This window comes from Homo sapiens, chromosome 12 (assembly GCF_000001405.40).
Source record: "Homo sapiens chromosome 12, GRCh38.p14 Primary Assembly".
NCBI lineage: Eukaryota > Metazoa > Chordata > Mammalia > Primates > Hominidae > Homo > Homo sapiens.
In genome coordinates this window covers 68,755,488-68,783,087 of record NC_000012.12, presented here as the reverse complement: position 1 = coordinate 68,783,087, position 27,600 = coordinate 68,755,488, and the positions used below count along the sequence as shown (strand labels likewise).

Sequence of the window (27,600 nt, the reverse complement as noted above, 5' to 3'; positions counted from 1 at the left end):
GACCTCAGGTGATCCAACCGCCTCAGCCTCCCAAAGTGCTGGGATTACAGGCGTGAGCCACGGCCCCCAGCCTTGAAGGCGTTTTAAGGGCCATAAAAATACTGCTGTTATCTAGCCTTACTGCTCTCATTCTTGTCTCCCAAATGCCAAGATCATTCCTGCCTCAGACTTCTTTCCTTGCTATGTCATCTTTCCAGAAACTTCTTCCCAGTTTTGTGCATGGCAGACCTAGTTTTTCATCCTTGAGCTTTGGGCTCAGATGTCACTTCCTTAGGGAAGTTTTTCAAAAGCCGCACCCCCCAGCCCCCCAACCCCTAGTTTATCCATCACATTCCCTTTGTTTATTCTCTTCAGGGACCTGATCATACTCTGAAGTCATCTTAGTCACTTCTCTACTTGTTAAATGTTTGTCTTCTTAAGCTCTATGAGGACAGGGACCTTGTGATCTTGTTTACCATGACATCCTAAAAGCTTAGGGCAGCCGTTCCCAAAGTGTAGTTCATGGACCCCCAAAAAGGTCTCATGAGGTCAGAGCTCTCATAATAATACTAAGATTTTACTTGCTTTTTGCACTTTTTGGACCTTTGCATGATGGCACAAAAGCAATGGTAGGTAAAACTGTTGTTACCTTGGCATGAATCAAAGCCATGGCACCAGCTGTATTAGCAGTCATTGTTCATCACTATGTACTCAACAGTTTAAAAAGCCAGTTTTTCTTAAAATTCACTGAAGAACGTCCTTGAAGAAGCAGTCACAGTTATTAATTTTATTTAGTCTTGATCCTTGAGTGCACATCTTTTTAGTACTCTGTATGATACAATGGAAAGCACATATAAGCACTTCTGCACACCAAAGTATATACATTGGTTATCTCAAGAATAACCTTCCTAGAGATTGAATTCTGTGCTGCAGTACACTGCTTTTTTCATGGGACACCATTTTTTCTTGAAAGAACAACAGTAAACTATGGACAAGAGCATAGAACTAAAGACTTGGATATGAGAATTATCAGCTTAGAGATGATAAAGACAATGTCTAAACTGTGTGCAACACTGTTTTACCCACTGGGGACAGGTAAGTTTTTTGCTCTCACAGAGCTACGAAGAGAATAAAGAAAGCATAGAGGTCAGAATCATGGTTTGTTGAATATTTGAAGCTGAGGGGCTTCGAGGAGAAAGGTAGGAATGAAACAACTTTAGAAAACATAGTAATGAGGCCGGGTACGGTGATTCACTCCTATAATCCCAGCACTTTGGGAGGCCGAGGCAGGCAGATCGCCTGAGCTCAGGAGTTCAAGATGAGCCTAGGCAACATGGAGAAACCCCATCTCTACCAAAAAAAAATACAAAAAATTAACCTGGCATGGTGGCGCATGCCTGTGGTCCCAGCTACTTGGAAGGTTGAGGTGGCAGGATCACTTGAGCCTGGGAGGTAGAGATTGCAGTGAACCGAGATCATGCCACTGCATCCCATTTTGGGCAATGGAGTGAGACCCTGTCTCAAAAAAAGAAAGCAAGGCAAGGCAAGGCAAGACAGGGCAAGGCAGGGCAAGGCAGGGCAAGGCAGGGCAAGGCAAGGCAAGGCAAGGGAAGGCAACACATTAATGAAAGAAACATCTCTGTAGCACTGTATTGGTTTATTATTAGCAAAACAGAGTAGTCATGGGATCTCCAAGCTAAAATGTAGAAACAATCCTGTTATAATTGTAGCTATAAAGGTTTTATTCAGCAAACTGATTGTACTTATACAAACAAAGGATCTTGTTTTTTCCCTTTTTGAGAGAATCTTCAGCATGGGAACATTCAGAATAATTTGCCCAGTGCCAGTATGACAGATATTCCTAATTACAAATACTTTGCCAAATTTACAATGAGAATGATGATTAATTTGTGTCACATAGATTTTTTAAATTCATTCCCAAAGTGATTTAAGTTTATATTACAATCACAAATCTTATACTTTCAAAAATAATGCTCTCAATAAACTCATCCTGAATTTTTCTTCCCCAAAGACATCCACATCAGCCACAGCATAAACAAGACTTTCCCACTTTTCCCCTTACTGCTGTGAGTAGCATTCATTCAGTGTCAGCCCCAGGTCTGCCTCTGTTCCCTGTGAATCAACACTCTGTCTAAAAGGCAGGCGTTGGAGGAAACAGACCTCCTTGTCATAGACTGAAGGGCAGCAAACTACATTCCTTCAGCCTTAGGCCTGGTGGAGAAAATGCTTCAAATCACAAGAGAGGTAAGGCTCTCAGAAAAGCATGCAGACATTTTTAAAAATCTTGACTAAAAAGCGTGACTAGCTGGGCGCGGTGGCTCATGCCTATAATCCCAACACTGGGAGGCCGAGGCGGGCAGATCACCTGAGGTCAGGAGTTCGAGACCAGCCTGACCATCATGGAGAAGCCCTGTCTCTACTAAAAATACAAAATTAGCCGGGCATAGTGGTGCATGCCTATAATCCCAGCTACTTGGGTGGCTGAGGCAGGAGAATCGCTTGAACCCAGGAGGCGGAGGTTGCGGTGAGTCCAGATCATGCCATTGCACTCCAGCCTGGGCAACAAGAGTGAAACTCTGTCTCCAAAAAAAAAAAAAAAAAAAAAAGTGTGACTAGGCCAGGCAGGACGGCTCACGCCTGTAATCCCAGCACTTTGAGAGGCCAAGGTGGGCAGATCTCTTGAGCTCAAGGTTTCAAGACTAGACAGGGCAACATGGTGAAACCCCATCTCTACAAACAAAATATAAAAAAATTAGCCAGGTGTGGTGGTGCATGCCTGTAGTCCCAGCTACTTGGGAGGCTGAGGCGGGAGTATCACTTGAGGCTGGGAGGTCGAGGCTGCAGTGAGCCATGTTTGTGCCCCTGCACTCCAGCCTGGGTGACAAAGTAAGACCCTGTCTCAAAAAAATACAAAATAAATTAAAAAGTGTGATTTTAGAAATTGTTAAGATTTAAAAATAAAAATTTTGAGCAAATTTAAATAAAAATATAACTGGTTTGGGATAACCAGATATCCTGCATTTTAGAAATAATGTTAGAAACTGGGGCCAGAGAAGTGGCTTAAAATGTCCCTCTTCATCCCTCCCTCTATGCTTCACAGCATAACCCATATTTATCCACTTATTTTTAATTTAATTTAATTTTACTTTTAGAGTCAGGGTCTCACTTTGTTGCCCAGGCTGGAGTGCAGTGGCACAGTCATGGCTCACTATAACCTCAAACTCCTGGGCTCAGGCAATCCTCTGCCTCATCTTCCCAAGTAGCTGGGACTACAGGTGTCTACCACCATGCCCGGCTAATTTTATAAAATTTTTTATAGAGACGGGGGTCTTGCTGTGTTGCTCAGGTCTTGAACTCCTGGCCTCAAGTGCACCTCCTGCCTTGGCCTCCCAAAACACTGGGATTACAGATGCAGGCCACTGTACCTGGCCCCCATATTTATTAATCACATTTTATTCATTCATTCATTTAACTTTCCTGTGAAGTTTTGCAAATGGCTTCCTCAATTCCCCCTTGTTAAGCTTTTTTTCCTTCTCAAACCATGCTTATATCCTTTCTGGTTCCAGCCACATATTTTGGGTCAGACAGTCCTAGCACTGTACTTTTAATATCACCTGGAGTGACTTCAGAGACTTCTTTGAAGCCACAAGACCATCTGGTTCAATACCAATATTTTGAAATCTAATGACTCACTATTCTAGAACATTCTCAACATTAAGTTTCTTAAAGATGGCTTAAATACTTTTTAAATTTAAATAAATGTACAGAAAACAAAAATCTTTTCATTTAAAACCTACCAAATATAGCCACACATGGTAGGGCATACCTATAGTCCCAGTTACTCAGGAGGCTGAGGCAGGAGGATTACTTGAGCCAAGGAGTTCAGGGCTGCAGTGCACTATGATTGTGCCTGCAAAAAGGCACTGCACTCCAGCGTCGGCCACAGAGAAAGACCTAGTTTTTTGTTTTTGTTTTTGTTTTTGAGACAGAGTCTTGTTCTGTCGCCCAGGCTGGAATGCAGTCTGGAGTGCAGTGGCTCATTGCAACCTCCACCTCCTGGGTTCAAGCAATTCTCCTGCCTCAGCCTCCTGAGTAGCTGGGATTACAGGGGCACACCACCACGCCCAACTAACTTTTGTATTTTTAGTAGAGATGGAGTTTCGCCATGTTGGCCAGGTTGGTCTCAAACTCCTGGGCTCAAGTGATTCACCTACCTTGGCCTCCCAAAGTGCTGGGATTACAGGCGTGAGCCACTGCATCCAGCCATAAGACTCAGTTTCTTTTCTTTTTTTTTTTTGGAGATGGAGTTTTGCTCTTTTGTCCAGGCTGGAGTGAAGTGGTGCGACCATGGTTCACTGCAACCTCTACCCTCCCGGTTCAAGCAATTCTCCTGCCTCAGCCTCCCAAGTAGCTGGGATTATAGGCACCCACTACTACGCCCAGCTAATTTTTGTATTTTTAGTAGAGACGAGGTTTCGCCATGTTGGCTAGGCTGGTCTCAAACTCCTGACCTCAGGTGATCCACCCGCTTCGGCCTTGCAAAGTGCTGAGATTACAGGCATGAGTCACCACGCCTGGCCGGCAAGACCCTGTTTCTAAAAAACAAAATAAAAAATAAATCTTCCAACTATTTATAATATGATCTCTGTTCATCTTTACTGTTATAAACATTCCTCAGGTACTTGAAAGGAGTGTGTGTTCTAGGCTTGTTGAGTACAGATAACCTATTAGACAAGGTTACTAACTTCCCTGCTGCCTGCTCTATCACCTCTATTAGAAGTATTTAAAATCTCAATTTTCCTTTTAATTTTCATGCTGTTTTCTGGGTTGTTCATGATTGCTATGTTTGTGGTGGATTGTTCTTTAAAAAAAAAAATCTTGATCCTATTAACACTTTTTGCCTCAAATTCTATTTTGTCTGCTATTGATATTACTACCCAAAATCCCCGCACCCCGCCCTTTTTTTTGAGACAGGATCTCACTCTGTCACTCAAGCTGGAGTGCAGTTCACCATCACGGTGGCTCATTGCAGCCTCGACCTCCCTGGGCTTGGGTGATCCTCCCACCTCAGCCTCCCGAGTAGCTGGGATCACAGGCACATACCACCATACCTGGCTAATTTTTGTACTTTTTATAGAGACGGGGATTCACCATGTTGGCCAGGCTGGTCTTAAACTCCTGATCTCAAGTGATCCGCCCACCTTGGCCTCCCAAAGTGCTGGGATTATAGGCATGAGCCACCACACCCAGCCGGCAGCAAACTGTTTATGGACTGGTACTGGGGCCCAGACCCTACCTTGAGTGGTACTGGGCTAGAGGACTTATTAATTGCATGATCTAGGAGTAGTTCATAAATTCTGTGATGGTCATTCTTTGGGTGAACTCCATTTCTAGCAGATTCTAGATAAGCAGCATGACTTCCTCTGATTCTCTGACACCTGAGGGTGGGGAAATTCAGACTGTCCCACTTGGGTTGTGCGTCTTCACGCTGGGGAAGAGGGTGAGGCCAAAGTTGTGTTGGGAGATAAATAATGAAATTCAAGAACTCCATGGTAACAGCCCTTGTCTTTCCTCTCTGGGGCCACACAGTGCAGTGTGGGGAGAGGAGTGGACAGAAGGAATGTCAGCATTTCCTTGGCAAAATCTCTTGCGTTTCAGAACAGCAGTGAGATTTTGGAGGTATGAGAGAGTCACAGGTGTGACATTCCTGTGAGGAATGCTATTTGAGTACAAGCAGTGGATGTCCTCATGATGTTATGATTTCAGAAGAATAGCACTGTGCTTGGCTGAAAAGTTCTGCATTCAATAACTCCATGCCAATAAGCAGCCATTTCCTCCCAGCACACAGTTGCTCACCAATGTCCATGGTCCTATGGCACTGGGAGGCCTCTGATGCAGCTGTCTCCCACTATGGTCTTAGGAAATTCCTGGAACGTTATTAGAGTGAGTTTTTCCTAGATCTGCTTACTGAATACCTGTTGAACTTTCACACTGATGGCCAGTTCCAAGACTTAAGCATGACCTTGCGACCATTGGTGATAGTGCTTTCTTGATCTGCTGAATCAAATTGAAGCAGAACTGGGGGTACTACTAGGAATGAGGGGTGACTAGGGATGGGGCTGGGGCGAGGGGTATATTGGGTAACTGAGGATGACCAGTGTCAGAGAGCACAAAGATGATGGTGAAGGGCAGGTAGACCACCTCCCACTTGGTGGGAAAGTCTGTTCCTGGCTGGAACTGGTTCATTCATTCCAAGCCAGCAACAGCTCCAGGTTTGGACGCCATTTATGAATCTACATGCCACCAGACCAGTCCCTGTCTTCCACACACCCCACTCTCTGGAGTCTGGAAAAATGGCGGGGGTGGGGCTAGCTACTAGTTTTTGTTTTTTTTTTTCTTTTTGAGACACAGTTTCATTCTGTCATCCAGGCTGGAGTGCAGTGGCATGATCTCAGCTCACTGCAACCTCCGCCTCCCAGGTTCAAGCGATTCTCGTGCCTTAGCTTTCAGAGTAGCTGGGACTACAGGTGCACACCATCACAGCTGACTAATTTTTCTTTTCTTTTTTTTTTTTTGAGACGGAGTCTCACTCTGTCTCCCAGGCTGGAGTGCAGTGATGTGATCTCAGCTCACTGCAACCTACGTCTCCAGGGTTCATGTGAGTTTCCTGCCTCAGCCTCCTGAGTGAGTAGCTGGGATTACAGGCGCCTGCCACCACGTCCAGCTAATTTTTGTATTTTTAGTAGAGATTGGGTTTCACCATGTTGGCCAGGCTGGTCTCCAACTCCTGACCTCAAGTGATCCACCTGCCTCGGCCTCCCAAATCGCTGGGATTACAGGCGTGAGTCATCATGCCTGGCCTTTTTTTTTTTTTTGTGAGACAGAGTTTTGCTCTTGTCACCCAGGCTGGAGTGTAATGGCATGATCTCGGCTCACTGAAACCTCTGCCAGGCACACGTCACCATGCCCGGCTAATTTTTGTATTTTTGGTAGAAACGGGGTTTCACCATGTTGGCCAGGCTGGTCTCCAACTCCTGACCTCAAGTGATCCTCCTGCCTTGGCCTCCCAAAGTGCTGGGATTACAGGTGTTAGCTACCAAGTCTGGCCTTTTTTTTTTTTTTTTTTTTTTTTTTTTTTTGAGACAGAGTTTCGCTCTTGTCACCCAGGCTGGAGTGTAATAGTGTGATTCCAGCTTACTGCAACCTCTGCCTCTCGGGTTCAAGCCATTCTCCTGCCTCAGCCTCCTGAGCAGCTGGGATTACAGGCACACGCCAGCATGCCTGGCTAATTTTTATATTTTTAGTAGAGACGGGGTTTCACCATGTTGGCCAGGCTGGTCTCGAACTCCTGACCTCAGGTGATCCATCTGCCTCAGCCTCCCAAACTGCTGGGATGACAGGCGTGAGCCACCACGCCAGGCCCTATTTTTATTTTTAACCAGTGCTGTAGTTTGAATATTTGTCTCCTCCAAAACTCATCTGGAAACATCCCCAATGTGGCAATATTGAGAGATGGCGCCTTTAAAAGGTGACTGGGTCATGAAGGCTCTGCCCAGTGAGACTGGTGCCTTTATAAGAAGAGGAAGAGAGACCTGAGCTACCATGCTCAAGTCCCTCACCACGTGAGGCCCTCTGCCACCTTGGGTCTCTGCAGAGAGTTCCCAGGAACAAGAAGTCTCTCACCAGATGTGGACCCTGTACCTTGGACTTCTCAGTCTCCACTATTGTAAGAAATAAATTCCTTTTCTTTATAAATGACCCAGTTTCAGGTATTCTGTTCTATGCAACACAAAATGGACTAAGACAACGAGTACGCTTAGTTGTTGCTTCCTGAGTTCCAAAGTCCGACAGACAGAGCAGGTCCTCCATTCTTGCCCCTTTTTACCCCAAATGCTCATTGGCATTCTTGCAGCTACGAGTAATAATTAAAAGTGGCTAAGCCAGGCTGGCATGGTTGCTCACGCCTGTAATATCAGCACTTTGGGAGGCTGAGGCAGGAGGATCACTTGAACCCAGGAGTGAGACCAGCCAGGGCAACATAGCAACACCCTGTCTCTAATTATTATTATTTTTTTAAGTGAGTAAGCCAAATAGGGGTTTACTTTTCATCTAGAACAAGAAGACGTGTTGGCCAGGCTGGTCTCAAACTACTGGGCTCAAGTGATCCACCCACCTCAGCCTCCCAAAGTGTTGGGATTATGCGTGAGCCACCGCACCTGGCCACAAGACCCAATTTCTTTTATTTTATCTTTTTTTTTTTTTTTTTAAGAGATAGGGCATCTAACGGCATTGTTTTAGCTGCTCAACACTTTTTTTTTTTTGCTTATTTTTGTTTGTTTTGTTTGTTTTTGAGACAGGGTCTCCCTCTGTTGCCCAGCATATAGTGCAGTGGCATGATCATGGCTCACTGCAGCCTCAACCTCCCAGGATCAGGCAATCCTCCTGCTTCAGCTTCCTGAGTAGCTGAGACCACAGGTGCACACCAATATACCTAATTTTTTTTTTTTTGAGATGGAGTTTCACTCTTGTTGCCCAGGCTGGAGTGCAATGGCGTGGTCTCAGCTCACTGCAACCTCTGCCTCCCTGGTTCAAGCGATTCTCCTGTCTCAGCCTGCCGAGTAGCTGGGGTTACAGGCATAAGCCACTACGCCCAGCTAATTTTGTATTTTTAGTAGAGACAGGGTTTCTCCATGTTGGTCAGGCTGGTCTCGAACTCCTGACCTCAGGTGATCCACCCACCTCAGCCTTCCAAAGTGCTGAGATTGCAGGTGTGAACCACTACGCCTGGCCACCTGACTAATTTTTAAGTTATTCACAGAGAACAGGTTTTGCAATGTTGCCCAGGCTGGTCTCAAACTCCTGGGCTCAAATGATCCTCCTCCCTCGGCCTCCCAAAGTGCTGGGGTTACAGGTGTGCCACTGTGCCTGGTCGGCTCACCACTTTCAGATCTGGCTCTCTTCACCTCTCTTTTATAGTCATAAGCTGATTAGCACAATTCTAGACATCCGCAGCTACATTTAAGGCAGGAAGGAGGTGGTAATAGACACTACCAGCCACATCTGTCCCTTTTAATCAGGATACCCTAGAAATCCTCAGCAGACTTTGAATTATGTGCCATTGGTGAAATGTCATATGATCATCCCTCTACAAGGCAACGAGGTAAAAAGAGAATTTAGTATTTCTAGCCTCTAGAGTGGAGATGAACAAAGAATAGGAATGGGCATTTGCTTAGGAAACCAACTGTGCCTTACAACATTTTTGCACTTTTTTCTGTAACATTTTGTGTTAAATCATATAAAAATGCTGATCCTAACAAATATGGTCAATGAGTCACACCATAATTCTCTAAGAACTCCAGTCCAAAAAGGTTAATCTTGCTTTTAAACTCCAGGCGCGGTGTTTCACAGCTGTAATTTTAGCACTTCGGGAGGCAGAGCAAGAGGATCACTTGAGGCCAGGAGTTGGAGACCAGCCTGGCAACATAGCAAGACCCCGTCTCTACAAAAAATAAAATTATCTGGGCCTGTTGGTGCACACCTGTAGTCCCAGCTACTCAGGAGGCTGAGGTGGGAGGATCACTTGAGCCTAGGAATTCGAGGCTGCAGTGAGCTGTGATTGCACCACTGCACTCCAGCCTGGGTGACAGAGGGAGAACCTATCTCCAAAACAAAACAAAATAAAAACAAAACAAAACTCCAAGCAGAGAAAGACTTGACGAGTCGGATGAGTCTGATGATTCCTAAAGGAAATCCTTTTTGAGATTCCAGGAGATTCCATCTCCTCAACAGAGTAATTGATTTTGAGCCTCCCACCTCCTGAATTAAGGCCCACCCATCCCTATCCTGCACTGAACTGTAGACTCTTTTTTACTTCCTTACAAAAGTTTATTCTTAAATGTACAACAGACTCCAAGACGACACTTTATTGTAGCTATAGGTGGCAAAAGATGTTATGGCAGAGAATCCAGATGTTTAAATAGGAATGGGGTCAAGGGTCACCGCCCCAAGCACGGATAACAAAATTTATTTTTTGCCAGATTTCTTTAATTCCACCTGTGACTGGTGAGGGCTGGTGGCGGGGTGGCTTTCACTTTTAGCTCCTCTTTTTGTTTCTGCTTGAACGTCCCATCTTCCTTACCCACCCCCTTGACCTGCTTCTTGAGCTTTCTCAGGGCTTCTTGCCACCTTTGCAGCTGTACATGGCACCTGCCATAGGGCTCTAATTTTAAACTGAGAAATTGAGAAAACAGGAAACTGACTCTTTTTGGGGGGAGAGTAAGACAAACAGGAAAAGGAAAATGAAGACGTGGTTGATACAGATCGTTGGATTTCAAAAGGAAAAGTCTACGGATAACCGAAAAAAATAAATATTTAGAAATGCATAGTCTTGGCTGGTTAAATAAGTATCCATGCTTGTTCTTGTGGCATAGTAGTTACGAGACATTTTTAGTTAAATGGAAAAATGTGAATTACTATAGTTTGAGTGATATGCTGCTTTCCAAATTAAAAGCAGCATAACAAAAACATTCCCCTAATACTCATAAATAATTCATTGAATTGGCAATAATTCACCTCCTAATGACTTCATATGAAGTATAAAGTAACTTCGATACATCAGAAGAAATCCTATCTTCTAATATAAGAAAGTAATATGATTACATTAAATGCGTCTCATATAAGTTATAAAAATGGTATCTATGAGTAAAGAAATGCTTGTGAACAAAAAAATTGATCTTATAAAGGTCAAACAGGCCAGGCGTGGTGGCTCACACCTGTAATCCCAGCACTTTGGGAGGCTGAGGTGGGCGGAGTACCTGAGGTCAGGAGTTCAAGACCAGCCTGGCCAACATGGTGATACCCTGTCTCTACAAAAATACAAAAAATTAGCTGGGCATGATGGTGGGTGCCTGTAATCTCAGCTACTCGGGAGGCAGAGGCGGGAGAATCGCTTGAACCCGGGAGGCGGAGGTTGCAGTGAACTGAGATTGAGCCACAACAACCAAGCCTGGGAGACAGAGGAAACTCTGTCTCAAAAAATAAAAAATAAAAATTAAAATTAAAAAAAAGGTCAAACAAACCAAACCCTTCTGATTAATTTATTCAATCTACTTTTATTATAAGCAAATGAGAAATTATAATTTTAATCTGAAAAAGCAGAATCAGGGGATTTTGGAGCTGGACAGTCCCCTGGAAATTATTTGGATCAAAGCCCTCATTTTATAGGTGAAGAAACTGAGAAGTAAGATTTGAGCAAGCTGCCCAAAGGCTTTGCCAAAGGCTATACCAGTGAATGGCAGAGTCTGGACTGGAAGTCCCAGTGCTGCCGTCCAGGTGAGACCTGTTCCACTGCATGCTACTAGCTCCCGGGCTGAGACCGGACTTTTGCTTGGCAGGTTTCTTTCTTTCGAAACTATTAATTATTGTATTTTTTGTAGAGACAGGGTTTTGCCATGATGCCCAGGCTGGTCTTGAACTCCTGAGCTCAAGAGATCCACCCAGCTTGGCCTCTCAAAAATGTTGGGATTACAGGCATAAGCCACAGTGCCCGGCCCATTTTCCTCCCACCTCTTTGTTCCTTCTCTGTTTCTTTTGCAGCATTATGTTCTATCATTGTATACCAGAGTTCCTCAACTTCAGTTATAGTCTGTTCTTGCTTTATGCTATCTTCTTCAGCAAGCTCATCTTGGTCTGTTTTCCTCCTTATCAGGCATACCCCAGAAACTCCTGTTTTATCTCCACCTCAACTAAACATTTTCCTGAGTTCTGGGCCTCTATAAACTAATTATTTGATTAACATCTTTTTTTTTTTTTTCTGAGATAGAGTCTCTCTCTGTCACCCAGGCTGGAGTGCAGTGGTGCAATCTCAGATCACTGCAGCTTCTGCCTCCCAGATTCAAGCGATTCTCCTGCCTCAGCCTCCTAAGTAGCTGGGATTATAGGCATGCACCACCGCACACAGCTAATTTTTGTACTTTTAGTAGAGACGGGGTTTCACCATGTTGGTCAGGCTGGTCTCAAACTCCTGATCTGAAGTGATCTGACTGCCTCAGCTTCCCAAAGTGCTGGGATTACAAGCCTGAGCCACCATGCCTGGCCAACATCTTTAATTGGATATCTCAGTATCAAGAAGGCCCATAATATTCCTCTGCCTCATCCCTCTCCTCAGTCCTCTTCTTGTGTTTCCTAGTTCAGAGAATGGCACCATTCTCTATCAAGCTGCGCAAATCAGACATGTGTGATTTTTTGTTGTTGTTGAGACAGGGACTCACTCTGTCACCCAGGCTAGAGTGCAGTGGCGTGATCATGGCGCACTGAAGCCTCAAACTCCTGGGCTCAGGAGATCCTCCCGCCTCAGCCTCCTGAGTAGCTGGGACCACAGGCCCACACCACCATGCCCAGCTAATTTTGTATTCTTTGTAGAGATGGGGTTTCATCATGTTTGCCCAGGCTGGTCTCGAACTCCTGGACTCAAGCAATCCACCCACCTCAGCCTCCCAAAGTGCTGGGATTACAGGCATGAGCCACTGTGCCCAGCTGAAGTGTGATCCTTAACTTCACCCCTTCTCATGCCCTCCATTTCCAATCCATCTCCAGTCCAGTTGACTCCAGCTACTCAATTATTTCCACTTATCTCATTCCACTACCTTTGAAGCTACCACCATCTCTAACTACAGTCATCTCCCAACTAACTGGTCTCCTGGCATCTCTCTGGTTCTCCTCCACTAATTTCAAAAAAAGAAATTTACTGTGACAGTGCTCACAACACTCCCCCTTGCTCTTACTAAAGATGCTTACCATAGCCTCCAGGTATTGTATGGCCTGAGGTCTATCTACATTTCCAGGTGCAGGACACACCATGTCTCCCCACTCCCAAATTTAGTCTCCAGACTCCATCCTTTTTACAGTTCTTTAAAAGCATCACAATTCCTCCAACCACTAGGCATTTGTATGTGCTATTCCCTCTTTCCAGAATGCAATACCCTCCCTCTGCCTAGCTAGCTAACTTCTATGTATCTATGACTGCAGCTCAAACTTTCCTCATGGACTCCCTCCACAAGTGCCAAGCCTGGGCCAGATTCTTTTGTTATGTGCTCACAGAACGATGTTCCCTTTAGCATTCATTGAGTTTGCTGTTTAATTATTCTTGTCTTGTTTTTGTTTAATTAGTCCTATCTCTAATACTAGACAAATGTTCCTTAAGATCACAGGAAATATAGGACTGTCTCTACATAAAAACTGTTTTATATCCATAATGCCTAGGACAGTACCTGGCACACAGTATATGCTCAATAAATTTTTGTTGAATGAATGCAATTATCATTATATTCCTGATATTAGCAGGTATAATCCAGTTTAAGTTTGGGAACAGAAAGACAAAACGGACCACATCTAATAAATCCGGTCTCCTTTCTTTTATTATTTATTTATTTGAGACAGTTTTGCTCTTGTTGCCCAGGCTGCAGTGCAATGGCATGATCTTGGCTCACTGAAACCTCCGCCTCCCAAGTTCAAGGGATTCTCCAGCCTCAGCCTCCCAAGTAGCTGGGATTACAGGCATCCACCACCACGCCCAGCTAATTTTTTTGTATTTTTAGTAGAGATGGGGTTTCACCATGTTGGCCAGGCTGGTCTCGAACTCCTGACCTCAGGTGATCCACCCACCTCAGCCTCCCAAAGTGTTGGGATTACAGGCGTGAGCCACCGTGCCCGGCCAAGGTCTCCTTTCTTTTAATCAAACTCTCACCTTTGGCCATTCTGCAGTCATTCACCCGACAGTATTTACTGACGGAGTGAATACAGAGTGCTTGATTAATGTTGCTGCTTTGTTATTATTATTATTATTATTGAGATGGAGTCTTGCTCTGTTGCCCAGGCTGGAGTGCAGTGGCGTGATCTCGGCTCACTGCAACCTCCGCCTCCCGGGTTCAAGCCATTCTCCTGCCTCAGCCTCCCAAGTAGCTGGGACTACAGGCATGCAACACCACACCTGGCTAATTTTTGTATTTTTAGTAGAGACAAGGTTTCACCATATTGGCCAGGCTGGTCTTGAACTCCTGACCTCAGGTGATCTGCCCACCTCAGCTTCCCAAAGTGCTGGGATTACAGGCGTGAGCCACCATACCCAACCTAATGTTTCTGCTTTGAAATACAATTTCAAAAAGTCATTAATAGGTTGAAAACAGCAAGATTTTAAAAGTATTTTAAAAAGTGAAACAGAAGAATGCTTACTTCATTTCACAGAGATAGATTTCTCCTTTATGTTATTTCTAAAAGGAGATGGAATTTTGTTTCATTCATTTCTGCTTATTTGGACAGGCCAAATATGAACAGCTGAACACGTCAGCGTTACCATGCATATGTTACACAGATGCCATCCTTCTTCCATCAGCTCTCATATGCAATACAGAAGTAAAAAGAGGTTCTCTTTATTTTTAAAAGGTAAAAATTGAAATTCAGTCACTTAACACAGAATAAACAATAATTACAATTACACTGGTAACAAAGGACAGCAAGCATGTTTTCTTTGAAAGCACTGTATCTGGTTTGTCTCCGTGCTTGGTCCTAGTATCTGGCATATTTTCCCCAGAGTTTTCTTTTCAGTGGGATGATTATCTTCGGGGCAAAAAAGTTTATCAGACTCAAGTTTTAGCAGTACTTATTTTATTCATTTATATACATGTAACCCCATCCTGTCTTACTCCAATCTTCTTACTGCCTTCCTACTGACACATATATTATATAACACCCTCCCCAAGTTCTATTTACGGTTAAAAATTTCTTTTTTTTTTTCTTTTTTTGAGACAGAGTTTCACTCTCGTCACCCAGGCTGGTGTGCAATGGCGCAGTCTCGGCTCACTGCAACCTCCGACTCCCTGGTTCAAGTGATTCTCCTGTCTCAGCCTCCCGAGTAGCTGGAATTACAGGCGCCCGCCACCATGCCCAGCTAATTTTTGTATTTTTAGTAGAGACAGTGTTTCGCCATGTTGGCCAGGCTGGTCTCAAACTCCTGACCTCAGGTGATCCACCCGCCTTGGCCTCTCAAAGTGCTGGGATTATAGGCGTAAGCCACTGCGCCCAGCCTACAGTTACGAATTTCTAAATGGCACAAATAAACTCAGCTGTTCTCAGTGCAGACGTCAAATCCTCACTGTGCTGAAACATTTTCCTCAGCTTTTGGGAAATAATTACAATTTAAACATACACAGAGAATGTTTCTTAGACAAACATAATACCCGAGGCTTATCTGGTAAAAACTAATTGCTCTGTCCTTAGCACAAAAAATATATATCTTTGTAAAATGAGAAGAACCAAAGAATATTTAAAACAAAGAAGGAAGCCACACGTACTAATTACACAAGAGACTGACTGACAAACTGGAATTCTCCAAAACAGATTTTCAGCGAGGCTTCTCATTTCAGAGTCCAGGAAAAAAAAATCCTAAAAACCCCAAAGGTATATTATATGTGTGTATATATATTTTTATTGTGTTAAAAAACACAAAACATAAAATTTACTGTCTTATCAAAAGGTATATTTTGTCGCTCTTCCCTTTTTTTTTTTTTTTTTTTCCCGAGACAGAGTCCAGTCTGTCGCCCAGGCTGAAGTGCAGTGGCATGATCTCGGCTCACTGCAACCTGCATCTTCTGGGCTCAAGCAATCCTCCCACCTCAGCCTCCTGAGTAGATGGAGCTACAGGCACGTGCCACTAGGCCCGGCTAATTTTTGTATTTTTTGCAGACAGGGTTTTGCCATGTTGCCCGGGCTGGTCTTTGTTCTCCTAAGAGTTGTTTTCTCCATGAAAGTTGATAAATAACATTTAGAAAATGAATTATTACAAGAGTAATGATATGTCTCAATTTATTATATGAAATTATCAACAACTGCTTTTAATATTCAGATGTCAAGAAGATGAAAAGCAGAAATACATTTTGCAAACATGTAGCACTCCATAAATGGAAATCATGTATTTCCTCTAATATCCCAATTTTTCTATATTGGGATCTTATATGGCTGTTTCTATATGGCTATTTTGTCCCAACTTGCTGTACAAGAATTTTCCCCAGCCACCTTAGAAAGGTTGGATGTAGTTCACTCCAAGTTTGCAGTTCACTCCAAGTGTTTCAGTACCACAGAAAGCTCCATGGAAGCCTCAAATGTACGGGCTAGGCAATAGAAGCAGGGAGGTAGGATTAAGAAATTACTGGCCAGGTGTGGTGGCTCAGGCCTGTAATCCCAGCACTTCGAGAGGCTGAGGCAGACAGATGGCTTGAGCTCAAGAGTTTGAGATCAGCCTGAGCAACATGGCAAAACTCTGTCTCTACAAAAAATATAAAAATCAGCCAGGTATGTTGGTGTGCACCTGTAGTCCCAGCTACTGGGGAGGTTGAGGCAGGAGGATTGCTTGAGCCCAGGAGGCTGAGGCTGCAGTGAGCCATGATTGTGCCACTGCATTCCAGCCTGGTCGACTGTAAGACAAAAAATAAGAAAATAAAAAATTTACCAATATAAAATGCTCAAACAGCTAACAAACATGTTCAATTCCATTTATAGTCTTTTCTTTGAGCCATTTAAACATAGGGCTATTTTTTTTTTTTTTTTTTGAGATGGAGTTTCACTCTTGTTGCCCAGGCTGGAGAGCAATGGCATGATCTCGGCTCACCACAACCTCTGCCTCCTGGGTTCAAGCGATTCTCCTGCCTCAGCCTCCCGAGCAGCTGGGATTACAGGCATGTGCCACCATGCCTGGCTAATTTTGTATTTTTAGTAGAGACGGGATTCCTCCATGTTGGTCAGACTGGTCTTGAACTCCCAACCTCAGGTGATCTGCCTGCCTCAACCTTCCAAAGTGCTGGGATTACAGGTGTGAGCCACTGAGATTGGCTGCCGTTTTGTTTTTTAACTCCATATAGTTTCTATAGTTCACTGAAAACTCAAAGAGATGACCTATAAATGTATGAATAATGTATGATTTCTTACATCAATTTTCTACTAGAAAAAAATCATACTTTTAGAATTGGATTTTGTCTTACAGTCATCTTTATTATACTTTATAAATGAGATTTCATTTATATAAATCAGGAAGCTAAACTAAAATAGAAACACTAGATTTAAATTCTGATTTGAATACTCTGATCAAAATAACAAATCTCACACTGGGAAACCATCTATCAGCAAGCAGAGAGCTACTGTGTGTCCTTCCTTAGAAGAGTTTGAACACCGAGAACCCACAGCATATTTGCAGTACAGTAACAGCAATTCCTTTGTCATTATCACAGAACTTTAATTTTCATATACTTTGCTGGGACCAACCAAACCATCCCATATATATAACCATATCCATATATATATATATATATATCCCACATATATATGGGATGGTATATATATACACATGTATATGTATGTGTGTGTGTATATATGTGTATATATGTATACACACACACACACACACATATATATATATATACACACACACACATATATATATGGAGAGAGAGAGAGAGACAGTGTCTTGCTCTGTCGCCCAGGCTGGAGTGCAGTGGTACGATCTTGGCTCATTGCAACCTCCGCCTCCCAGGCTCAAGCGATTCTCATGTCTCAGTCTCCCAAGTAGCTGGGATTACAGGTGTGCACCACCACACCAGGCTAACCATTCCATACATTTTATACAATCATTTTTAAAAAGAAGCATGAACCATTTCGGTTTTAGAGAATTAAGTTTTTTTAAAAAAGAGACTCTTAAAAAAAAGTCATTATATGAATAAAATCTGCTTTGTGTTAATTCCGACAAATCATTCCATCATTGAGTCTGTCACCAATTTTTTTTTTTTGAAATGGAGTTTCGCTCTTGTTGCCCAGGCTGGAGTGCAATGGTACGATCTCGGCTCACTGCAACCGCCGCCTCCCGGGTTCAAGTGATTCTCCTGCCTCAGCCTCCCGAGTAGCTGGGATTACAGGCATGCGCCACCACGCCTGGCTAATTTTGTATTATTAGTTGAGACAGGGTTTCTCCATGTTGGTCAGGCTGGTCTCGAACTCCTGACCTCAAGTGATCCGCTGGCCTTGGCCTCCCAAAGTGCTGGGATTACAGGCGTGAGCCACCGTGCCTGGCCCAATTTTTTTTTTTTAATAACTTGCACACTTAACAATATTTTTTATCTTCTTGGGACAACATTCTTTTCTCCACAAAAACCCAATTAAGGACGTTGTGCCAGTTTACTCCTACTTCCTTCCTGTTCACTGAGCTTAAAGTGGGTATAGGCGAGAATGCCAAATAATGTACATAAAATGCCAAGGGCCTGATTAATGGACAGTGGATCCTTAAATAAAACATATCCTCCGAATAAAGTAATGCAGAACTTGAAGTGTCCGAACATGTTATAGCTGAGGTTTTTGGATAAGGATAAAAAGGAATAACAAGATAGATGTTAATATTTACACACACACTCGCACTGCATAAAACAACCCAAAAGCAGCCCATCAGATGTAAAGAACAATGGGACCAGGCGTGGTGGATCATGCCTGTAATCCCAGCACTTTGGGAAGCTGAGGTGGTGGATCACTTGAGGCTGGGAATTTGAGACCAGCCTGGCCATCATGGTGAAACCTTGTCTCTACAAAAAATACAAAAATTAGCTGGGCGTGGTGGCACATGCCTTCAATCCCAGCTACTTGGGAGCCTGAGGCATGAGAATCACTTAAACCCAGGAGGTGGAGGTTGCAGTGAGCCAAGAATGCACAACTGCACTCTAGTCCAGGCGACAGAACAAGACTGTCTAAAAAAAGAGAATAATGGGAACTTCTTAGTTTCTTCAGGTAGGTTTTAGCGATTGATTCATCAGAGACACAAGACTGCCTCAACCATTCCTACTGACCTCCAAAAAAGAAAAGGGATACAATATAAAAGGAAAGACCTTCAAACAAGGTCCAGGGAAGGTATTTTGTACAGCAATTTATAATTATGTTTTACAGTGGTGTTTCCTTGGGAAATGAAGTGAGATATGTAAGGTACCAAAGAGCTAACTTGAGTTAAGGAGGGAAAAGAGGGAGGGGGAGAGGGAGTAATACTGAGCACCAACTATACACCAAACATCATGCTGGGCGATTTACATGAAATCGTCGAAGTTAGGCATCACGTTTACCTTCACTGCAGGCTCACTCTTCCTATTTACGGTTGTAGAGGCTCAGAGATTTTAAGTAACATGCCCCAGATTACAGAGCTATTAAGTAGCAGAGGTGGAGTCCAAACATGAATGGGTCTATTTAACTTGAAAGCCCACGTTCTAATCCAAAATACTGCCAGTAACATGCCACTGGATTAAGATTTTTCCAAATCATTGTTCATTTAAAAAGCAAACTAAATACACACACACACCATTTAAAAATTACTTGTGGCCAGGCACGGTGGCTCACGCCTCTAATCCTAATCCCAGCACTTTGGGAGGCCAAGGGGCGTGGATCACCTGAGGTCAGGAGTTCGAGACCTGCTTGACCAACATGGAGAAACCCTGTCTCTACTAATAGTACAAAATTAGCCGGGCGTGGTGGTGCATGCCTGTAATACCGGCTACTCGGGAGGCTGAGGCAGGAGAATCGCTTGAACCTGGGAGGCGGAGGTTGCAGTGAGCCGAGATCACACCATTGCACTCCAGCCTGGGCAACAAGAGCGAAACTCCATCACACAGACACAGACACAGACACAGACACACACACACACACACAATTACTTATATTTAAATATAACTATTTTTTCTATATAAATGAGTACTCTCTTGTTCTTCAGATGTATGATGTTTGCCTATGTGCTTTTCCTAACTACAACACTAGAAACAGCCACCACTCTGTGCATTAGTTTCCTCACTATATAAAAGGGGTTTACCTCCCACGGTTATTGTAAGGATTAAATAAGTTAATATACACAAAGCTTCTAGCATATAGTAAGCACCATATGTGCTAGCTATAATAACATTACCAACAGCAGTACTTATGTATCATAAACACCTGCTTGGTGCTTGACACATTCTCTCAAATACAACCACCCAACATCATAGATCGTACTTCCTCCACTTCATACATTTCATAAGTGATCAGAGTGAGACCCTGAGAGTTCCCACACTAGTCAGGCCCACAGAGAGTGGCAGAGCTCAGTGTTCACACCTGGACCTGTCTGACCTCCAAGCCCACCTAAGCAGCCTGGAGGTTCCCGCTGGGCAGCAGCAGTGCCTCAGGAGAGCACAGGCTGCGTCACCAGGGGCATATGGTGGCTTGATCCCATGAAGGTGACTTCCTGAGACACAGAGGATCTTCCCAAGGTTGTTGGCAATAGTCATAATGTTTTATTTTCAATTATGAGCTATCTTCATGTGCACTGGCTCTAACACTTTAAATTTCTTTACTCCTCAGCTTCTCTTTTAAGTATATTTATACGAGAAGGAAGTCAAATTTAAAGAAACTATTTATGAATCCTTTTGTAAAAGCAACAACAAAAGAGCAGTCTACATGTGGTATTTCCAGTTCTGCACTTTACTCCAGGCAGGCTGTCACCCCAACCCCAACCCACTTTACTCCAGGCAGAATGTTCTGGTCAAACCCAGTGCCCTCCACCTCACTCAGTCCCTCAATGGTGACCAGTCTCCTTGAACTTGGCCTGCCAGCGGCATCTGACACAGACACCGACCCCGCCTCCTCCTCCTTCCTCTGGTTCTGTGCCAGTCTCCTCCTTCCTTCCACCTCTGACTGCTCCTTCTCATCCTCCACCTAGTTTCTCATCTCTCTGAATTCCAAATACTGGACTCAAACCCAACACTCAGTCTTTGGACTTATTTTCTTCTACTTGTCTGCTTGGTAATCTCAACTAGTCTCATCACTTTAAACCACAGCTTCATACTGCTCACTCCCTGTGATGCCTCCTGCTGAGACGTCACCTTTGAACCCTGACTTGTTTATCCAAAACTGAGCACCTGGCTGGGCACGGTGGCTCACACCTGTAATCCCAGCACTTTGGAAGGCTGAGGTGGGAAGAATGCTTGAGCCCAACAGTTTGAGGTTGCAGTGAACCATGATCGCGCCACTTCACTCCAGCCTGGGTGACAGAGCAAGACCCTGTCTCAAAAACAACAACAACAAAATACTCCCCGAACTGAGCACCTTATCTTCCTCCCCAGCCCCAAACCTCCTTCTGGGTATCCTATCTTAGTTGATGGCAACTCCATTCTACCAGGTGCTCAGGTCAAAAACCATGTAAATCAGCCTTGTTTTCTCTTTCTCCACATCCAACTCGGCAGCAAAACCTGTTGGCTCTTCTTAGAAATATTTCCAGAATCCAATCACTTCTTACTATATCCACTGCTATCATACTGGTAGCCACTATTACTTCTAAATTAGAATATCGTAGCAGTCTCCTGAGTTTCCTGTGCCTCTTTCAGTCCAGTAGTTCTCAACCATGGGTGATTCTGCTTTGTGGGCAATCTTTGGAGGCATTTTTGGTTGTCACAACTGGGCAAAGGGTATGTATGCTACTGGCATCTGGTGGTAGAGCCCAGGCCTGCTGAAAACATCCTACAGTGTACTAAACAGGCCTGCACTAAGAACCGTCTAGCCCAAAAAGTCAACAGCCCAGAGGTTGAGAAATCCTTCTTAAGTCTATTCTCAACACAGGAGTCCTGAGTGATTCTATGATTTATTTTATTTTAAAAAACTTTTTGTAGAGACAGGGTCTTACTATGTTGCCCAGACTGGTCTCGAACTCCTGGGCTCAAGGGATCCTCCTGTCTTGGCCTTCCAAAGTGTTGGAATGACAGGTGTGCCATTGTGCCCGGCCCACTGAGTGCTTCTATTAGAATGTATGTAAAATCATGTTACTTCTCTGCTCAAAATGCTAATGGCTTCCCATCTTACTCAGTTTAATAGTCCTTACATAAACGCCCTACTCAATTCAGTTCTGTGTTACTTCTCAGCCTACCACATTCCCTCCTTTGCTCAACCTGCTCTAACCACACAGGCTTCCTTGGTTTTTTTACGGCCTCGCACCTGCTGTTGCCTCTGCCTGGAATGTTCTTTCCTCCTGATCTGCATGGAGCAACTGCATTTCCTTCAGGTCTTTACTCAAATGTCGTCTTCCCACTGATGCCTTCCTGACTAGCCCTGCCTAGAACTTCAATGCTGTCTATGACATTTCACATTCTCTTCCCCGCTTTATTTTTACTCCTTGGCAGTTAACACTATCCAACACTGTATATAAATATTTAATTGTTTTCTATTTCTAGTCTTCCTCACCAGAATTCAAGCCTGTGAGAGCAAAGACTTTTGTCTATGTGGTTCATTACTGTATCCCCTGTGCCTGGCACACAGTAGATGTTCAGTATATAAATATTTTTATATCAATGACTGGTTTAGTGGGTATTCAATAAATACTTATTGAATAAATTAATGTTTTAAATCAGAGCACATATTTGGATGCCTTGATTGGGTAGTATGATGTACAAATTTGGGGACTAGACTGCATGGGTTCAAATCTGGACATCCCATTTGTCAGCTGTGTGCCTTAAGTGAGTTGGTTAACCTCTCTGTGCCTCTATTTTTTCTATAAACAAAAATGACAGACTTTACCTCACAGAGCTGCTGTGAGAATTAAATGGACTAATACATACAAAATGTTTCTAACAGTGTCTGACACAAAATAAATATTTGTTAAGTATTGGTTTTCTAAAAAACTTATCGTTGTTGTTTTTTATTGATAGTTGGCAAATATCCTACTTGTTTACTTCCTGGGGAAATTCATTTGTTGCATTTGCCTAAGGGTGGGGGCAGAGTGAAATGTGAAGAGAAACAGGATGACAAGCAGAATGGTACAAATGGACAGTTGAATTTGACCTTTAACATATAACTTCATTTCTATTTTTTCTTTTTTTGGTAGAGATAGGTTCTCCCTATGTTGCCCAGGCTGGTCTCGAACTCTTGGGCTCAAGCGATCCTCCTGCCTCGGCCTCCCACAGTGTTGGAATTACAGGCGTGAGCCATGGCACCCGGCCAATGACTTCATTTCTTGACTTGAAATAATATTGAGAAAAACAGGCACACCCATATCCAAATAAGTACAAACACATACTCCATAGCCAGATGCCAGTGGCCTGAAATTATCTTTTGTTATTTGTTAACCATTCCTCTACTTTGTTACTAGAAATACCTGAAAATTGTTTGAAAATCCAAACCTCCACCTCACTATTCATTCAAAAAATATTTAATCTCACTGTCTGTAAGAAATGGTACTCTGAGTTAATTTTTGTAAGGGAAAAGGTCACCTATTACATAAGAAAATTCAGAAACATTCATGACACAAAAAGCTAACCCACTTCCTCAGTTCATATTTCTTTTTTTTTTTTTTTAAGACAGAGTCTTGCTCTGTTGCCCAGGCTGGAGTACAGTGGCACAATCTCAGCTCACTGTAACCTCCGACTCCCCAGTTCAAGCAATTCTTGTGCCTCAGCCTCCTGAGTAGCTGGGATTACAGGCGTGCACCACCTTACCCAGCTAATTTATATATTTTTTGTAGAGACGGGGTTTCACCATGTTATCCAGGCTGGTCTTGAACTCCTGGCCTTAAGCGATTCACCCGCCTCGGCCTCCTGAAGTGTTGGGATTACAGGTGTGAGCCACCACACTTGCCCCTTCAGTTCATATTTCTTTAAAATCCTTTAGTGGGTAAAGATACAGTAAAAGGCTAAAAATAACTCTCTCTACTCAATTTAGGCCATGCAATAGTTAGTGTGAGATTCAAATAAGGTAATGAATGTAAAAGTTTTGGAAAATATAAAAGACGATGCATTTCTAAGTTATATGAAAAGGATACGTGACAGGTGAAGTGTTCCCAATGATCCAATAAATTGATAAGTTCACCATGAAAGCTATTACTCCAGATAGCAGCACCATAAGCTACAAATAAACCAAAAGAACCATTAATGCAAAGCACTGCAATCATAATCATCAAGCAAAGATACATTTCATTCGGCATTTTAAAAAATTCAAATATCAACCATTAATAAATAAGATTAGAAAGAGAGGGCCGGGCGCGGTGGCTCACGCCTGTAATCCCAGCACTTTGGGAGGCCAAGGCGGGCGGATCACGAGGTCAGGAGATCGAGACCATGGTGAAACCCCATCTCTACTAAAAATATAAAAAATTTGCTGGGCGCAGTGGCGGGCGCCTGTAGTCCCAGCTACTTGGGAGGCTGAGGCAGGAGAATGGCATGAACCTGGAAGGTGGAGCTTGCAGTGAGCCGAGATCACGCCACTGCACTCCAGCCTGGGCGACAGAGTAAGACTCCATCTCAAAAAAAAAAAAAAAAAAAAAAAAAAAAAAGAAAGAGAATTTGGGGTTGGGAGACAGTAAGAATTGCAAGTAAAAAAGCAGAATGAACCGTGTTTAGAAAAAACGTAATTTTTTCCACAAGAATCAACGAAAAATACTGCAATAACATCCTTTCTGTGATTGTGAATTTCCAGGTTCATTTTTCTTATTAATCTAAAGAAAAAGTATACATATGCATTATTATTATTGTACATCAGACAATAAAGAAAAGCAAAAAGAATATAAGGAATTCTTATAATCCCAACCACCCACACATTAACATCTCGGCATACCTCCTTCGAGATCTTTTTCTTTTTTTTTTGAGACGGAGTTTCACTCTGTCACCCAGGCTGGAGTGCAGTGGCACGATCTGGGCTCACTGCAACCTCCACCCTCCAGATTCAAATGATTCTCCTTCCTCATTCTCCTGAGTAGCTGGGACTACAGGCGCCTGCCACTGCGCCCGGCTAATTTTTTGTATTTTTAGTAGAGATGGGTTTCACCATCTTGGCCAGGCTGGTCTTGAACTCCTGACCTCATGATCCACCCACCTCGGCCTCCCAAAGTGCTGGGATTACAGGCGTGAGCCACTGCACCCGGCCGAGATCTTTTTCTATTAAATTGCTCATTTTTATTCTTTTTTTTTTTTTGAGATGGAGTCTCATTCTGTCGCCTAGTCTAGAGTGCAGTGGTGCAATCTTGACTCACTGCAACTTCTGCCTCCCAGGTTCAAGTGATTCTTCTGCCTCAGCCTCCCCAGTAGCTGGGATTACAGGCCCATGCCACCACACCCACCTAATTTTTTTTGAATTTTTTGGTAGAGATGGGGTTTCACCATGTTGGCCAGGCTGGTCTCGAACTCCTGACCTCAGGTGATCTGCACCCCTTGGCCTCCCAAAGTGCTGGGATTACAGGCCTGAGCCACTGCACCTGGCCTCATTTTTATTCTTATTTAACTCAATAAGCATTCATTGGATATCTACAAAGTTAGGCCAGGCCTTCTGAGGAACGCAGTATGTACAAAGTTCCTGCCCTCAAAGAGCTTAGAAACTACTTGAGGACATAATAAAAATCATGATGATCACTGCTTACACTTACATAACACTTATTATGCACCAATAATTGTTCTGTTTTACATGTATTCACTTATTTAATTTTCACATACATCCACAAAGTAGTTGTAAAAATATTATTCCTTTTTATAGATAACTTGGCTGGGCACAGGGGGACAAATGGGTTGGACCACTATATACACATACAAAGTTCTGTTCAAATCTATCCCATAATTTTATCCAAAAAGTTATAGAATCATTTTGTTTCTGAATTTAGATAAAATGATATTCATGATATAAACTATTAAGAAGTTTAAGTTCCAAAGAAAACTTAAACTTGATACTTGGCACATCATTAAAAACACAATTACTCTACTTTGTTAGGGTCTTTGTTACGGACTTTGAAGAATATAAAGAAGCTAGTTCCACGTTGAAGAGGAGTGGTAAGAGTGGGCATCCTTGTCTTGTTCCAGTTCTCAGAGGGAATGCTTTCAACTTTTCCCCATTCAGTATTATGTTGGCTGAGGGTCTGTCATAGACGGCTTTTATTAAATTAAGGTATGTCCTTTGTATGCCGATTTTGCCAAGGGTTTTAATCATAAAGCGATGCTGAATTTTGTCAAATGCTCTTTCTGCATCTATTGAGATGATCATGCCATTATTTATTTATTTATTTATTTGGAGTCTCACTCTGTCGCCCAGGCTGGAGTGCAGTGGCACGATCTCGGCTCACTGCAAGCTCCGCCTCGCGGGTTCACGCCATTCTCCCGCCTCAGCGTCCCAAGTAGCTGAGACTACAGGCACCAGCCACCACGCCCAGCTAATTTTGTTTTTGTATTTTTAGTAGAGACGGGGTTTCACCGTGTTAGCCAGGATGGTCTCGGCTAGTCTCAATCTCCTGACTTCGTGATCCGCCCGCCCTGACCTCCCAAATTGCTGGGATTACAGGGGTGAGCCACTGCGCCTGGCCGATCATGTGATTTTTGTTTTTAATTCTGTTTACATAGTGTATCACATTTATTGACTTTTGTATGTTAAACCATCCCCACATCCCTGGTATGAAACCCACTTGATCATGGTGGATTATCTTTTTGATACGTCATTAGATTCAGTTAGCTAGTATTTTGTTAGGGATTTTAGCATCTATGTTCATCAAGGATATTGGTCTTTAGTTTTCTTTTTTGGTTGTGTCCTTTCCTGGTTTTGGTATTAGGGTAATGCTGGCTTCATATGGAAAAAAAAAAAAAAAGTTGAGTTGACACAATCCTCTACTTTGAGTCAAGGATGCCTCCTAGGGACATTAAGGAATGAAGATGACTTTCCTTCACACTAAATGGCCTCAGCCTGCTGTGGTCTTGGTTTCTTTGCCTTTTTTTTTTTTTTTTTTTAATGGCTTTTCTGCTGCTGTCCTCATTTTAAAACCTGTTAGAAGGCTACGAAAAAAATCCTCTCTCCTTGTAGTATAAGGTCTCTAGGCTGCAATGGTTTGAAACCAGATAACCAGGATGGCTAGGACTTTTGCAAAGTGGAAATATTATCTGATAGATGGTCCAATGACCTCTACTTTAGAAAAAAAGTGTATATGGTAAAATATATAAATTTGAAATAACTACTGGTCTACTTAGGGGAAGCAGAGCGGAGCACTGGAGAACACAGACTTTGGACCCAGAAGGCATGTATCCAAATTGTGTTTCTGCTTATTAGCTGTGGGATTGCGAGCCAGTTACTAACTCTTTATCTCTCGGTTTCCTCATCAGTAAAAATAATAACAATGGTAATATAGTTTGGATGTTTGTTCCCTCCAAATCTCATGTTGAAATTTGATCACCAATGTTGGAAGTGAGGCCTAGTAGAAGGTGTTTGGGTTATGGGGCTGGATCCCTCATGAATGGCTTGGTGCCCTCCCCAGGGTAATGAGTGAGTTCTTGCTCTATTAGTTCTCATGAGAGCTAGCTGTTTAAAAGAGACTGGCATTTCCTCCCCTCTCTCTCTTGCTCCCTCTCTCGCCATGTGACATGCCTGCTCCCCCTTCACCTTCCACCATGACTGTAAGCTTCCTGAGGCCCTCACTAGAAGTAGATGCCAGCACTAATGCTTCTTGTACTGTCTGCAGAACCATAAGCCAAAATAAACCTCTTTTCTTTATAAATTAGTCTCAGGTATGCTTTTATAACATCATAAAATGGACTAATACAAATAGTA

General features: G+C 43.2%; 1 protein-coding gene and 1 pseudogene across 5 annotated transcripts in view; both read right to left on the bottom strand.

Annotated features, from left to right (window-relative positions):
- Positions 1 to 1,619: 1,619 nt before the first annotated feature.
- The window catches only part of SLC35E3 (solute carrier family 35 member E3), a 35,293-nt gene continuing 9,312 nt past the window's right edge, over positions 1,620 to 27,600 (bottom strand). For 4 of the 5 annotated variants that reach the window (NR_149143.3, NR_149144.3, NM_018656.5 and 1 more), the window contains 2 exons: positions 23,849 to 23,931; positions 1,620 to 18,384 (listed from right to left, as the gene is read on the bottom strand). Coding sequence is in view for 3 of the 5 variants with exons in the window: in NM_018656.5 (NP_061126.2) it covers positions 18,198 to 18,384; positions 23,849 to 23,931 (270 nt within the window). In the remaining 2 variants the exon portion in view is untranslated. Of the gene's footprint in view, positions 18,385 to 22,696; positions 23,049 to 23,848; positions 23,932 to 27,600 lie in introns of those variants that run through there. The other variant, NM_001354998.2, reaches the window with a different exon arrangement.
- Positions 5,329 to 6,150, bottom strand: LOC100422438 (MAPK activated protein kinase 2 pseudogene; annotated as a pseudogene).